The sequence below is a fragment of the Homo sapiens genome, chromosome 15, assembly GCF_000001405.40.
Source record: "Homo sapiens chromosome 15, GRCh38.p14 Primary Assembly".
NCBI lineage: Eukaryota > Metazoa > Chordata > Mammalia > Primates > Hominidae > Homo > Homo sapiens.
The window spans coordinates 65,070,609-65,085,538 of record NC_000015.10 but is presented as its reverse complement, the minus strand read 5'-3'; the positions used below and the strand labels follow the sequence as shown (position 1 = coordinate 65,085,538).

The following is a 14,930-nucleotide window of genomic DNA, read 5'->3' as shown; positions in this document are numbered from 1 at the left end:
AGCCAAGCCACTTGGTAACACAGCCCAGAGAGCTGAGGGTCAGAGGGGACAGGGCACATGTCCAGCAGGGTCTTGACAGGAAAGAGATGGCACACTCAAATCAGGTCACTAGAGGAGGGTTGAGGAAAGAGGCTGTTCACAAAGGGTGGAGGGCCCCTAAGGGATAGCACCAGGCTAGTGAGCTTGGGGCTTCACCACTCCTGCGTCTGCGCAGGAGGGAAGGGGGCAGCCACCTCAGCCTGGAGACAGACGGCTGTAAGGAAAAGACCAGCTGACAGTGGCGGGGACTTGAGTCAGTGAAGGAAAAAGGTCAGTGCAAGATCACCCCACAGGGAGGGAGCCAGGAACTAAGTTCCCTGACTCCATACGCCTCCCCACTTCCCACCTTTTGCTGCTGCTCTGTACTGGGAGCCAGTCAAGGGAGTCCAGTGATATCACCCAGACAGGACCACCTCTCGGGGTGCGGAGCAGGAGAAAGGAGCTGATCTGGAGGGACAAGCTGATCTGCAGGGACAAGGAGCCGTCAGCCCAGGGCTGGATGAGGGGCTTGCTATCTGAATACAAAAAGCAGCTCTGTCGGTCACACTTACTGCCTCAAAAACTTACTGTGGTTCCCCACTTCCTACAGAATAAAGCCCAAGTTCTCCAGCCTGGCATTCAAGGCTCTTCACACTCAGACTCCAGCCTATTTCTCTGGCCCCACTACAGGCACTTCACATAATCTGCACAGAGACTCTATAACAGTCTCTCATCATCATCTCCATTTGCCCAACATCACACAGCTGGCAAGTGGAGCTGGAATATGGACCCAGGTCCCCTGGATGCCATCCTGCTGTGTCATGAGCGATAAGCACAGACTGCTGGAACACAGTCCATTCACCAAAACTGTGCCTTCCAAACAGTAAGGGTGTCAATAATGGGTGGAGGGGAAAGTGTGAAGAGGAACCAGGGCAAGGAACTTGGAAGGTGAGGATTGCGTATGCTGGTCTAGAAGCTCTTATTTCACTCTCAGGACAACCCTCCTGGAATTATCATCTCCGGTTAGAGTTGAGACACCTTCATTCATTTCAGCAACTTTAAGGAATTTACCCATGGTCAAACAGAAGTCCCTGTCAGAGCCAGCATTTGACTGCAAAATCAGCTGGCAGGCAGGCAGCACTGTCCCTCTGCAGAGTGGCACCTACAAAGTCCTCAGTCCCTCGTTTCCACCGCAACCCAGTGCTAGCTCCCTCTCTGAGCACCTGAAATTACCTTTGCTAATCAGGACTTTGCAGTTAGGCGTATTTTTGTAAGACTCCTGTTAGAATGAAAATATGTTACCTGGAAAGAGAAGCATGTTGGGCGAATGGTTTCTGACCTCCTATAGAGTTGGCAAAATTGTGTGTGTGTACGCATGAGTGTGTGATCTGAAGGGCCCAGGTGCCCAAATACCATTAGAGACTAACTCCTTTGTCTCCATCTGCTGAATCTGCGTGCTGAATGGGGTGTGTGTGTAGAGGAACTTTCCTAGAAAAAATAAGGATGGAAGCCTGGAATCAGGGAGGGCAGCCTGATGATGGGTCACCATGGGGAAGCTCTTTCATGAGTGCCCTGGAAGGCAGCACAGGAAATAACATGTTAGGATGGGAGGAGGATTCCAGAGAAGCAGGCTTTAGGTTGGGTGGTCCACTTGCATTGCTTTGTCTCCAGGAAAGTTGCTTTCCCCTAACCTGCGACCTGGCTTTCCTTCCCTGTGAAGAGAGGGGTGGAACTAGAGGCTTATACCCTGCTCCAAGACCCTGCAGCCCAACAAAAGGCCCATTTTCCCTTTGTTAGTTACTCGAATGCCAGAGAGAAGGGCTCCCTCTTTTCATGCTTCCCCAGTCCAGCTGGGGCAGAATCATGAGGGCTGCAGAGGACGCTGCTGGGACAAGACCTCCTCTAGGGGGGTCCTGTATCCCATGCCTATTACTGGCCTGCTGGGGCCAGCCTGTCTTCTGACAGCTGTGTCTCCCACCAGCACAGTTAATTTGCTGCCGTTCCTGGGATGTGACAGCAACTTGAAGCAAAGCAATTAGGATGAAAAAGAGGCCCCAGCTCCTTGAGGCCAAAGGAAAATAAACAGAGCAGCCCTGTGTGTATTCCGCCGCCAAGAGGAGCCATTCTTCAAGGGATGATTAGCATTTCTAATCCCAGCTTCCTCCCTTCCCTTGAAAGAAAAGTGACCGGTGAGCGGCTGCTCTTTTCAGATCCCACTCTTCCCAAGGTGGACTGCAAACTTGACAGCTCGTCACCTCCACAGAAAAGTCTTCCCTGGCCACCTGCCACAGCCCTGCCAGAAATGATACTCCTGTCCTCTGAAATCTGAGAGCCTTTCTCTGTACCTTTCCTATGGAGTTTCCTTGATTGACTGATCAATTCATTAATGCATTCTTTCAACAAACATCCGTTGAGTGCCATTCATTCATTCAACAAATATTTCTTAAGTCCCTACTAAATAAATCATCTCTTAAGCTGCCTACTACGTTCTAGTCATTTTTCTGGGTCCTGATGAGAGAGCAGTGAACAAAACAGAAAAAACCCTCTGCCTTCGTGGAGCTCAAATTTTAGTAGGAGAAAACCAACAGCAAACAAGTGAAAAGATAGCATGGAAGATGATGCTAAAAGCTATGCAGAAAAATAAAACAGGAAAAGGGAGGAGAACATGTAGAGAAGGGGGAGGTAGATTTTAAGTAGGGAGGTTAGGAGAGTCTGTAGGATCGAAGTGACATCTGAGCCAAGACCTGCAGGAAGTGGGGTGGGGCTGAGGCAGTGCGCAGGCAGAGGGACACCAGCCACACACCCTGAGCCCGGAGTGTGCCTGGTGCGTCTGAGGAGCAATGAGGCCAGAGAGGAGTGGGAGGAGATGAAGTCAGGGAGGAAACAGGGTGGGAGAGTCTGAAAGGACTTTGCCTTTCAGAGGGGGCGCACCAGGCTCTGACTGGCATTTTGTTGAACTAGGATGGCTCTGGCTGCCCTGTGAGCACACTGAAGGGAAGCCAGCAAGGAAGCAGGTCCTTGGTGGACAGGGGTGGGGCAGCTTCTCTGCCTCTGCCAGGCGGGCTATATAAACCACATAGGATGATTTCAGGGAGAGGAAGGCTTGGGGTGCAGGACATCTGGAGTCAGGGGCAAGGAGAACGTTTGTGGAAGACTGGAGAGAACTCCAGAGAGTTGGGCTGCAGGGCTGCCACCAGGTTCAGGAAAATGATCCCTGCAGCTTTAAGCTGTGTGAGTGTAGGCCTCTCAGAAAGGACGGACTTCTCAGAGTAAACCTCTGGGCTGGGACAGAGAGATTTCAAATCCAGCCCTCTGAGCTCAGTAACTCCTAAGTGTTTCTGTAATTTGCCCAGCTGCACCTGGTTTGTGCCCCCCACACCTTCATGCAATAGTCAAGCCGAGATGCCGGGGAATGAGAGGCTGAGAATCCCAAGTCCTGAGTTCAAGTCCCTGCTCTTCCACTTAACTGCCTGTGTGACTCTGGGTGAGCCAGCCATTCTGGCTTTCTGCTGGTTTCCTCACAGGCACCCCAGGCACAGTCACCATCCCTGCTGAGGGTGGTGGGCAGTGGTGACACATGCTGACTGTGGGTGGAACAAAGCCTTAACTGTGAGAACCCTTAGACAGAGAAGGTGGGCTGGGTTACAAAGCTTCCCCACACTTCCTGAGACGAGGGAAGTATCAGTGAACGTGCAAATATCCCCCAGGGCCTAAACCAGTCATTACCTGGGCTGAACGGGGCTACTGGTCTCCCAGGTCTATCCTAAGGGAAGAGAACTAGTTAACTTTCCTATGGAAGAGGGAAGAGAAAGGGCTGAGTCCAAGGGAACAAACGAACCCCCAAAAGAGGTGGGGATACATAGAGAAAGGCAAAACGGAGGGAGTGTTAAGGAGACCATTGGAAACACCCTGTCCATCTCAGGATGTCGGCCAAGCAGGCATGTAGCACAGAAGACAAGCCTGTGGCCCTGGGTTCACAGCCAGGTTCTGCCACTACCTAACGAGCCTCTTCTAATCACATGACCGTTGAGCTTTTTTCCCTCCATTAAGCTGCGGGAGTAGGGGTGTTGCCAAACTATCTGCCACTTAAAATTCTCAAAAGCTCAAGTAAGTCAACTGTGGGAAAGCTCTCTGTGAACACTGTGTTATTATTACGCACAAAAGGCATCTCAGAAAGGGCTGCCCTGGATGAAGGGAGGAACAACCAAATGCCAGGAGCCAGCAGGCTGGGGCTAAGCAGCCCCAAGTGCAGACAATGCTGTGGGATAAGAGAGACTAGGAGCTGATGGATTATCATGTGGCAAGTCTCAGGTGTTCAGCACTGGTCAGGAGGAAGGAGGAAAATGCTCTGTACTGTTATGAAAGTTATCTGTAACTTGGAAGTAAGGCAAAAGAAGGATTATTTCCTTTCAATGTCACTTTGGGACACTTTGAACAGAGAAGAGTTATTTAATTTTCAAGGGGAATGTACCTTTGCCTTACAATTTACTATAGATTAGAGCCCAGACTTTGTGAAGTTACATGCTAACTTGTAGGCATATGCACAAATATGTACATGCATGTATGTAAAGATGCAAAGGATTTTTGTTCAGTAGAGAACCAAAAAAATTATGCTTTTGTCCTGTAAGGCATATGCCAGTTTTGTCTCTAACTTAGCAAACTTATTTTAGTATGTCTCTTCCAACTAAATATACAAATCTGTCTCTCAAATGCTCTTTTCAATCAGCTTTGCCATTCTTTTTGGTTCTCTTACAGGTGAGTTAAATAAATCTTTGATGTGTGATATGAATTACACTTTGAGGCCAGGTACAGTGGCTCATGCCTGTAATCCCAGAACTTTCGGAAGCCAAGCAGGAGGATTGCTTGAGCCCAGGAGTTCAAGGCCAACCTGGGCAACACAGTGAGACTCCACCTCTACAAAAAAATTGTATAAAAATTGGCCGGGCGTGGTGGCTCACACCTGTAATCCCAGCACTTTGGGAGGCCGAGGTGGGCGGATCACCTGAGGTCAGGAGTTCAAGACCACCCTGACCCACATGGAGAAACCCCATCTCTACTAAAAATACAAAATTAGCCAGGCTTGGTGGCGCATGCCTATAATCCCAGCTACTTGGGAAGGCTGAGGCAGGAGAATCACTTGAACCTGGGAGGTGGAGGTTGGGGTGAGCTGAGATCACACCATTGCACCCCAGCCTGGGCAACTACAGCAAAACTCTGTCTCAAAAAAAAAATTATAAAAATTAGCTAGGTGTGGTGGTGTGCACCTGTAGTCCCAGCTACTGGGGAGGCTAAGGTAGGAGGATCACCTGAGCCCAGGAGGTTAAGGCTGCAGTAAGCCATGATTTTACCACTGTACTCCAGACTGACAAAGCAAGACCCTGTGTCAAAAAGAAAAAAAAAAAAGAATGAATGAATTACACTTTGATAGAACTACAAGTGAGGAACTCTTGTTGCTATGCTGTGTGGCTTTGGGCCAGTGGGTCAGTTTCTGCCACAAGAAGAGGGTACCCAACTCCCAGGCCCAAGGTAGGTCGGGAGGGGGAAGTCAGATGTGAAAGTACCTTGCACATAATTCACAAGATGCAAAAGTCAGGGTTTATTGTTGAGACTTATCAGACTAGGCTACTCCAGGGCTGGAAGGTCCCAGGCTTCTGAGGGCAGCATTCTCCAGGGTTGGGACATAGGCCAGGAGAAGAGGCAGCTAGGTGCAGCCCTGGCGCGAGCCTCCATGCCCCGGAGGTGTCATGCTGACACTGCATTCTCCACTTCTGACGAGGCCAAGATTCCCCATGGGCCTCAGGTCCTGGGGGATGGAGACCAATGAGAACCACCCAGAGAAGTCTTCCCAAGGCCATGGAGAGGCTGGAAAGGGCTGGGACAGGCATCTGCCCAGAAGCCAGAGCTGGGGATTTTGATGAAGGAACGAGAGTCCTCATCCAACAACAGAGGTCAGCACTAGGTTCCTAACTAGTGGCCTCTGTAGCCTGGGTTCTTTCAAGGCATCATCATTTTAATCTGGGACAGGGAAGTCCCCCAGCTCACTTAACAGGATCTCTGCCCTTACAATCCACACACGTGGTTGTGCACACACAATGATGTTACAGCCAGGGGTCCAATGAGCAATGCAGGCAGCCCAGGTCAGGAAAACGAAGAGCTGGGTGAGCCAATGCTGCACAGAGGATGGTAGAGCACTGACAGGGAGAGAGGAGGAGACTAGGCATTCCAGCCCAGGGAATTGCAAAGGGCAGAATAGGACAGGAAGAGAACAAACCTGTAGAATGTGGAGGAGGGGCTACAACTGAGGAAGATGAGGCAGGATTTGGCTCATACCTCAACTGACCTGAAGTCATGTGGGTTAACAGTCCACTGCCCCGTGGTGATGGCAAAAACAGGGTGGGCAAGGGCTTACACCTGGGTGCTCCCCTAAGGGTTCCAAAAAGGAACGTGAAGAATCCTCTCGCCCCCACAGGTCTCACTCCAGGCTCAGCTCAGTCATTATCTGCTGCAAGCTGGCCCAGTCTCATCCCCTCTCTAGATGCCCCAACTACTGCTGCTCTGCTGGTATGGCTGGACTTGCAGAGACCCTCCCCATCTGCTCCAGCCTTCCCCAACCCTGCTTCTCTTCTGAGCTCTCAGCCTCCATGGTCTAAGCCTCCCCTTTCAGCAGCTAATGGTATCCTGCTCATCTCCTCCATAGAGTTTGCACACTCTCTTCTTTTCTGGAGTTATATATTTTTTCTCTTCCTATTTTCCCTTTGCCCTGATTTCTTCAGCACTTTATTTTATTATATTGTATGCGGTTTTAAATTTTTTTGCATGTTGCCTTCAACTCTGTGGATCAAGTTGTGTGTAAACCTTTTTGTTGTCCTGTAACTGTTAAGATTGTTTTCTGGGTTATCCTTTAAGCTTCCTGGATCCCTGTGTGGCAACTACGGCTCTCATTACGCATAACACTGTATTGGGCATACAGTAGGTGCCTAATTCTTGCCTACTACTTGCAGTTTGATTAACATCATTTAAGTCGCTCCCAGCGATGCTCAATCACTAGCCCATTACATATAAGCCCGGATTATTCAAATCCCAACTCCCCCTACCCTGTTCACTGACATTGTGACCCACCAGCTCTCAGCAGAGCCCAAGTAATTTGAGGGCATCATCACTGCTCCCTGAGCTTCTTGAACATGTCCACACCACCAGAAGGCACCAAACCTGGGTGTCTCAGTAGAAAGAGGGAAGTTGCCAGCTACTTCTAAGGCCGGCCTCACACACTCAGCCATAGCTCAGGGAGGAGTCGCGGCGTCTCCTCCCTCCTAAAGCCAGCCCAGAGGTCACAGTTCTGCCGTTGTCGAAGTCACAGGCCCAGGAGCGCCAGGAGGCAGCCTTAGGAGAAAGGTCTGCAAGGAGCCGGGCCGCGGGAAGCCGGCTTTCTCCCTGAGCAGCCGCCAGGTGCCGCCCTCGATGGCGTAGAGCAGCGTGAACATGCGGTTGACCGTATAGACGGTGTCACCGCGCACCACGGCCGTGAAGAGCGCTCCCTTGCTGTTGACGAACTGGCCGGGCAGCGCCGTCCACTGGCCCGTGGCCAGGTTGAGACAGTCGATGGCGCAGTGCAGGAAGTCGTCGGAAGGTCCGTTGCGCACCACATAGAGGCTGTCGCGGTGGGCCACCATGCAGTGGCCATAGCTCTGCGGACGCCGCAGCTCGGCCACTGGCAGCCACGCGTCGGTCCGCACTGCGTACTCCACCACGGCGGTGGTGTCGGCCGGCCGCCACAGGCACACGAAGAGACGGCCACAAGCCTGGGCGCAGGGCACGCCGGCGGCCGGCTGCGGCAGGTCGGCCACGAAACTCCAGCAGCCCGCGGCTGGGTCGTAGCGCTCCACGGAGCTGATGGGCGTCCTCTGGAATTCGCCGCCGATGGCGTAGAGGCGGCCGTCGAAGCCGGCCAGCGCTGTGTCATAGCGCGGCTGGTGCGGGCTGGGGAACTCGTGCCACGTGCCGCCGTCGGGGTCGTAGCAGAAGCCCAGCTCTACCACCTCCTTGCTGGCGCCGCGCACGCCCCCCACGATGTAAAGCTTGTTGCCCAGCGTGGCCACCCCGGCCAGCAACGTGCTGGCCTCCAGGGGCAGCGCAGCCAGCGTGCGCCACGCGTCCTCTTCCTCGTCCAGGTAACACAGCGTGCGCGAGGCGTCCTCCAGGAAGCCGGGCGCGGGCGTGTGCGTGCTCACGGCCGCGTAGCTGCTGGGCCGCAGGGCCGCCACGTAGGCGCGGGCCTCAGGCAGCGCCAGTTCGGCCGCCAGCTCGCGCTCGCCGTCGCAGATGAAGAGCGCGGCACTGTGGAACACGTCGCGCAGGCCGAAGGCGGCGGCCGCGTCGCACAGCAATGCGCAGTTGTCCGACGTGAGGTTGTGCTCCAGAAAGCGAGCCAGCGCCGGCGCCTGGAGGAAGGCGGCGCACTCCACGGCCTGCAGCAGCTCGTCCTCCGCCGCCAGCGCCGGCCGGTCGCCGCGCAGCACCTGCAGCGTGGCGCGGAAACCTCCCGCGCTCAGAACGCCCAGGCGCACCTCTGCTGCGCGGGTCTCCCGCATGCCGGAGCGGAAGAGGCCTCGGAAGAAGCCACAGTGCTCCACCAGCAGGGCGCGGTCGGCTTGGAAGAGCTGGCCGCCCACCCACACCTGCACCAGGGTCTGTGGACCCCGTGCCATGGCGAGCTGGCCGGGCGGAGGCTGCCGCTGGGGCCTTGGGTTAGCCAGCCACCAACTCTGGGGCTCCCCTGGAGCAAAAAACTTCCCTGGGGGCTATAAATATCTCTCCCTGGCTAAAGATAGTATGGCTCATGTGATGTGGTGGCCCGCAGGCTGTATGGCTGCAGGCCCGGAGGGCATCTGGAGACCTGTGTGATCACTCATATCCTTAGAAGAAATGGTAATAATGGGTCCAGAATTGGTGGGTTCTTGGTCTGACTTCAAGAATGAAGCCGCGGACCCTCGAGGTGAGTGTTACAGCTCTTAAGGTAGCGTGTCTGGAGTCTGTCCTTTCTGATGTTCAGATGTGTTTGGAGTTTCTTCCTTCTGGTGGGTTCATGGTCTCGCTGGCTCAGGAGTGAAGCTGCAGACCTTCGCTGTGAGTGTTACAGCTCTTAAGGCAGCGTGTCTGGAGTTGTTCGTTCCTCCCAGTGGGCTTGTGGTCTCGCTGGCCTCAGGAGTGAAGCTGCAGACTTTCACGGTGAGTGTTACAGCTCATAAAAGCAGTGTGGACCCAAAAGAGTGAGCAGCAGCAAGATTTATTGCAAAGAGGAAAAGAATAAAGCGTCCACAGTGTGGAAGGGGATATGAGCGGGTTGCCACTGCTGGCTCGGGTAGCCTGCGTTTATTCTCTTATCTGGCCCCACTCACATCCTGCTGATTGGTAGAGCCAAGTGGCCTGTTTTGACAGGGCGCTGATTGGTGGGTTTACAATCCCTGAGCTAGATACAAAAGTTCTCCACGTCCCCATCAGATTAGTTAGATACAGAGTTTCCACATACAGGTTCTCCAAGGCCCCACCAGAGCAGCTAGATACAGAGTGTCGACTGGTGCACTCACAAACCTTGAACTAAACTCAGGGTGCTGATTGGTGTGTTTACAAACCTTGAGCTAGATACAGAGTGCCGATTGGTGTATTTACAATCCCTGAGCTAGACATAAAGGTTTTCCAAGGCCCCACCAGAGCAGCTAGATACAGAGTGTTGATTGGTGCACTCACAAACCCTGAGCTAGACACAGGGTGCTGATTGGTGTGTTTACAAACCTTGAGCTAGATACAGAGTGCCAATTGGTGTATTTACAATCCCTGAGCTAGACATAAAGGTTCTCCAGGGCCCCACCAGAGCAGCTAGATACAGAGTGTCAATTGGTGCACTCACAAACCCTGAGCTAGACACAGGGTGCTGATTAGTGTGTTTACAAACCTTGAGCTAGATACAGAGTGCCGATTGGTGTATTCACAATCCCTGAGCTAGACATAAAGACTCTCCACGTCCCCACCAGACTCAGGAGCCCAGCTGGCTTCACCTAGTGGATCCTGCACCAGGGCTGCAGGTGGAGTTGCCTGCCAGTCCTGCACCATGCGCTCGCATTCCTCAGCCCTTGGGTGGTTGATGGGACTGGGCACCGTGGAGCAGGGGGTAGTGCTCGTCGGGGAGGCTCGGGCCGCACAGGAGCCCATGGAGTGGATGGGAGGCTCAGGCATGGCGGGCTGCAGGTCCTGAGCCCTGCCCTGCGGGAAGGCAGCTAAGGCCCGGTGAGAAATCAAGCACAGCGCCGGTGGGCTGGCATTGCTGGGGGACCCAGTACACCCTCCGCAGCCACTGGCCCGGGTGCAAAGTCCCTCATTGCCCGGGGCCAGCAGGGCTGGCTGACTGCTCCGAGTGCGGGGCCCGCCAAGCCCACGCCCACCTGGAACTCCAGCTGGCCCGCAAGCGCCACACGCAGCCCCGGTTCCCGCTCGCGCCTCTCCCTCCACACCTCCCTGCAAGCTGAGGGAGTGGGCTCCAGCCTTGGCCAGCCCAGAAAGGGGCTCCCACAGTGCAGTGGTGGGCTGAAGGGCTCCACAAGTGCCGCCAAAGTGGGAGCCCAGGCAGAGGAGGTGCCGAGAGCAAGCGAGGGCTCTGAGGACTGCCAGCATGCTGTCACCTCTCAATAATAGTGACCATATACCGTGCACCTGCAGCGTGCGGGCGCACTGAGGGCTGCTAGGGAGATACCCATTTCACCTGCATCTTTCCAGCTGTGTGCCCTCGTGCGAATGTCCTAACCGTTCCTCATGTTCCAAATGGGACCAGTAGGCCAGGAACGGTGGCTCATTCCTGTAATCCCAGCTCTTTTGGGGGCCGAGAATGGTTGATCACCTGAGGTCAGGAGTTTGAGACCAGCCTGGCCGACATGGGGAAACCCCGTCTCTATTAAAAATACAAAAAAATTAGCCGGGCGTGGTGGCACGTGCCTGTAATACCAGCTACTTTATGAGGCTGAGGCACGAGAACAGCTTGAACTCGGGAGGCTGAAGTTGCAGTGAGCCGAGCTCGTGCCATTGCACTCCAGCCTAGGCAACAGAGTGAGGATCTGTCTCAAAAAAAAAAAATTAATTAAAAAATAAAATGGGGCCAATAATAACACCTATTTCACAGTCATGGGACAGTATCCGAAATATCCCGGTTGAGGCTGAAAGACTTTAGGTAACTTGTCCAGGGTCATTCAGCTAGGAAGAAGCTGGGGCAGAATGAATACCCACCTCACCCCTTCAGCTCAGAGGAGTGGGACAGGCAGGTTGGAGAACAAGGCAGAAATGGAGCAAGTACATTGGGCCAGGCTGGGGTACAGGACCAGGGTTTTAATTTGGCTTGGGCTTCTGACTCTGACTCTGAGCCAGTCCAATCTCTTTTTGAGTCTCAATTTTCTTCCTGAAAAATGGGAAAGGTAGCAACCCTGCTTTGCAGATGAGCATCCCATAAAGCCCCTGACTTGGGATGGGGATGGGAATTCCACACTTGCTGCGAGGCTCCAGATCCTGGGAAAAGGAATTGGGGCTGCCTAGGGGATCATATGCTTGTGGATGGGAAGAAGGGCTTCCTGAAATAATAATAGCTAACACTTTAATTGCATTATGTGTCAGGCACTGTTGTAAGCACTTTATACTAAGTCCTTACAACAATCCCAGGAGTAGATACTATTATTTCTCCCCCCATGGATATTATCCATTTATTGCTTATAGCAACACTATGAATTAGAAATTATTAATGGCCTTATTTCATATATGAAGAGACTGAAGCACCAAGAGGTTTAGTCACATAGCCAGAGAGTGGCAGACCTAGGCCTGGAATGCAGCCAGCCTGATTCTAAAGCAGGGGTCCCCAACCCTGGGGCCATGGACCTTAGGAACCAGGCCGCGCAGCCAGAGGTGAGCAGTGAGCAAGCAAAGCTTCATCTATATTTACAGCCGCTCCCCATCCTCATTACTGCCTGAGTGCTGCCTTCTGTCAGATCAGTGGCAGCAGCATTTGATTCTCATTGGAGGGCGAACCCTATTGTGAACTGCATGTGGGAGGTATCTAGGTTGCCTGCTCCTTATGACAATCTAATGCCTGATGATCTGTCACTGTCTCCCATCACCTCCAGATGGGACTGTTTAGTTGCAGGAGAACAAGCTCAGGACACCCATGGATTCTACATTATGGCAAGTTGTGTAAGTATTTCATTATATGTTATAATAATAATAGAAATAAAATGCACAATAAATGTAATACGCTTGAATAATTCCGAAACCATCTCCCCTCCGCTGTCTGTGGAAAAACTGTCTTTTACAAAACCAATCCCTGGTGCCAAAAAGGTTGGGGACTGCTAGAGGGCATGCCCATACCACTGTGTTTTTTGTTGTCGGTTTTTGTTTGTTTGTTTGGTTCGTTGGTTTGGGGTTTTTTTGTTTGTTTGTTTCTTTTTTTGAGACGGAGTCTCACTCTGTCACCCAGAGTGACAGAGTAACCCACACCTGGTTAATTTTTGTATTTTCAGTAGAGACGGGGTTTCACCTTGTTGGCCAGGCTGGTCTTGAACTCTTGACCTCAAGTGATCCTCTCACCTCGGCCTCCCAAAGTGCTGGGCCATACCACTGTGCTCCGATGCCTCTCTGTGCTACAAATGCTGGGCAGTCACCTTGTGTCAGGAGGGCATAGCTGAAAGGCACCTCAGGCTCATATGGTTCAATCCTCTCACAGTGGAGGGAAGTGCTCAGGGTCTTGTAGCTTGAAGCAGACAGCCTCAGGCCTCCTGCTGCCCACTCCATGGCACTTTTCCCACTACACAGAACTTTTCTAGGTGACCAGCTAAAACTATGGGTCCAAAAGTGGAGCTTGGGATGGAATGGAGCTTAATAATTATCTCCTCTTGCCACCTATTCTAAGGTGAGGAAACTGAGGCCCAGACGTGTAAAATGGTATCTGCCATTCAGATGTTTAGCTCCCCATCCTTACCTGCAGGCCTTCTTAGGGAGAATGAGTGGCTCACAATGACCAAGTAGAAGGTGGGAAGAGGCAGGGGAACTTCTCTCCCCCTTAGGATACATATGCATAGATCCTCACGTATGAATCTGCAGAGCCAACACAAATGTGCCTCCCCTGCTAGGGAACTCCCATCCAGTTCACTCCATCAAAGCAGTGATGGGATGTGGGGACCACTTGTGTGAGCCTGGGAAGCCAGAGGCCTGGAGGAGGCAGCCAGAAATATCTCTGACTCTGCCCCAGGGACCAGACAGGAAGAGGAGGAGGAGATGGGGGGATGGGTGGGCAGAAGTCCCCATGAATACTATCCCAGGCCCTCTGCCAGTTTCTTTCTTTCCCCAAGGCCAGATATTGGCTGAATGGTCTGGGATGTCCAGGCAGCAGGCATGACAGTCCCAATCTTGGGGACCAGTGGGCTCTCAGTGCTGGGTCTTGACTGTGTCCTTGCTGGTGGCCTTAGTGGTAGGGAAAGAGTGTCTGACTATTCCCATTTCACAGACGAGGAAACAAAGGCTTAGAAATGATTTGGGCTTTTCCTTGGTTATGAATGGGGATGTGAGGCTCAATCGAACCCTGCCCACTGACCCTAGCTGCCACTCCTCACCTGCACTAGCCTTGTCTCAGGGCAGGGAAACAGTTGCCTTCTGCTGGGGGCAGGGCTGGAGAAGGGCTGACTCCCAGGGGGCCAGGGCTGCTGCATAGTCCCGGGACTACAGTTCCCTCCCAAATGGCCTGTTCCAGACACCTAGTAACTGGCAGACACAACCAGATGGAACCATTGCCAGGCCCTCTCCTGAGAGCAGGAGAAGGAGGGAGTGCAAACCCCTCCTGGCTGAAGTTTGCTCTTGGCTTGATTTTTTCCAAGTCCAGCCCTGCCTTGAGTGGGCTGGGGCTCGGGCACCCACCCAGTTTCTACCTCCAGCAGCCAGACAGTGGGGAGACGGTCATCCAAGGTGGGGGGTCATGTTTTCCTGAGGCTGGGCTGAGGATCAGCCCTTTGGTCCCGCCCCCAAGGCCCCGGTGGGGTGTTGCCTACAGCTGGGGAGAGTTTCCTCCTCCTGGACACTGAGTGTCCCTCTGGGATTTGGAGAGGACAAGGAACTATCCTGGCTGTGGGCAGCCCACAGAGTTCCCAGGCCCTGCTCGACCCCACACCAACCTCCCTCTCTACTCCGCATCCCCTACACTGTGTGAGGTTGGGGATGGGGGCAAAGAAAGGAGAAAGGAGCCTGCCTCAGACTCTGAGCCTTTCTAGAGCACAGACCCAGTGTTGTTTATCCCTGTATTCACAACGATGGGCATACAGTAGGCGTCTGTTAAGTAGACTCTCTGGGGCGCTAACCTGTGGGAGTCTCCAGTCTGATAGAGAAGATATAACCCTTGCCCCTGGGAGACACCCCCACTCTCTGAAGTCTGATGGGAACGCCCTGGCCCTTGCCACTTATGCACATAGATGTTTCTGCACATAGGGTAGTGAGTGGCTTGTACTGCCTGGACCTAGAGGAGGAAGAGCACTGGACTGGGAGTCAGGACTCCTGCCTGGGCTCTGATGCTGGTGCCACCACTGACTTACAAAAGCTACCCAAACTCTTCAGGCTACAGTGCTTCATCTGTAAAGTGGAATTTGAATCTGCCTTCTAAGGTTCTGTTCCCCTTTGACATGTGAATTTATCATTCGACAACCACAGAAGTGGTTGTCATGTTGTGCCTCCAGAAGAGGCAACCACATCGCGAAAGGGTACCAAAAGCTTAGCTTTATATGAAAGGGCTCCTGGGGGTTGGGTGGCAAGGGTAGGTCCTGCCGTCAGGAAAACCTCACAGGCCCTACGTGTCTAGACCTATATTTGCTCCAGTCGTTCACTCCAGAGGTATCTATTGA

The 14,930-nt window shown here is 53.0% G+C and overlaps 2 protein-coding genes across 3 annotated transcripts in view, besides 2 other annotated features; one reads left to right on the top strand and one right to left on the bottom strand.

Moving 5' to 3' along the window:
• Positions 197-722: an enhancer, noted in NCBI's record as "H3K27ac-H3K4me1 hESC enhancer chr15:65377155-65377680 (GRCh37/hg19 assembly coordinates)". NCBI's record gives its function as "activates a minimal SCP1, AML or CMV promoter by ChIP-STARR-seq in primed H9 embryonic stem cells {active_cell/tissue: H9 hESC(primed)}" and the evidence as "EXISTENCE:reporter gene assay evidence [ECO:0000049][PMID:30033119]".
• On the bottom strand, positions 5,591-8,793 carry KBTBD13 (kelch repeat and BTB domain containing 13). The gene has a single exon (NM_001101362.3). The coding sequence runs from the start codon at positions 8,721-8,723 to the stop codon at positions 7,347-7,349; it is 1,377 nt and encodes a 458-aa protein (NP_001094832.1). The 5' UTR covers positions 8,724-8,793; the 3' UTR covers positions 5,591-7,346.
• RASL12 (RAS like family 12) overlaps positions 8,872-14,930 on the top strand; it is a 31,088-nt gene continuing 25,029 nt past the window's right edge. Inside the window, exons 1-2 of one of the 2 annotated variants that reach the window (XM_011521660.4) lie at positions 8,884-9,010; positions 12,174-12,240. In XM_011521660.4, coding sequence (XP_011519962.1) covers positions 8,990-9,010; positions 12,174-12,240 — 88 coding nt within the window. In that variant the 5' untranslated portion in view covers positions 8,884-8,989. Of the gene's footprint in view, positions 9,011-12,173; positions 12,241-14,930 lie in introns of both variants that reach the window. The other variant, NM_001379429.1, reaches the window with a different exon arrangement.
• Positions 13,383-13,882: an enhancer, noted in NCBI's record as "H3K4me1 hESC enhancer chr15:65363995-65364494 (GRCh37/hg19 assembly coordinates)". NCBI's record gives its function as "activates a minimal SCP1, AML or CMV promoter by ChIP-STARR-seq in primed H9 embryonic stem cells {active_cell/tissue: H9 hESC(primed)}" and the evidence as "EXISTENCE:reporter gene assay evidence [ECO:0000049][PMID:30033119]".

Coding starts and splice junctions, on each gene's coding strand:
- KBTBD13 (NM_001101362.3), bottom strand. CDS start 8,723: ATGGCACGGGGTCCACAGACCCTGGTGCAGGTGTGGGTGGGCGGCCAG.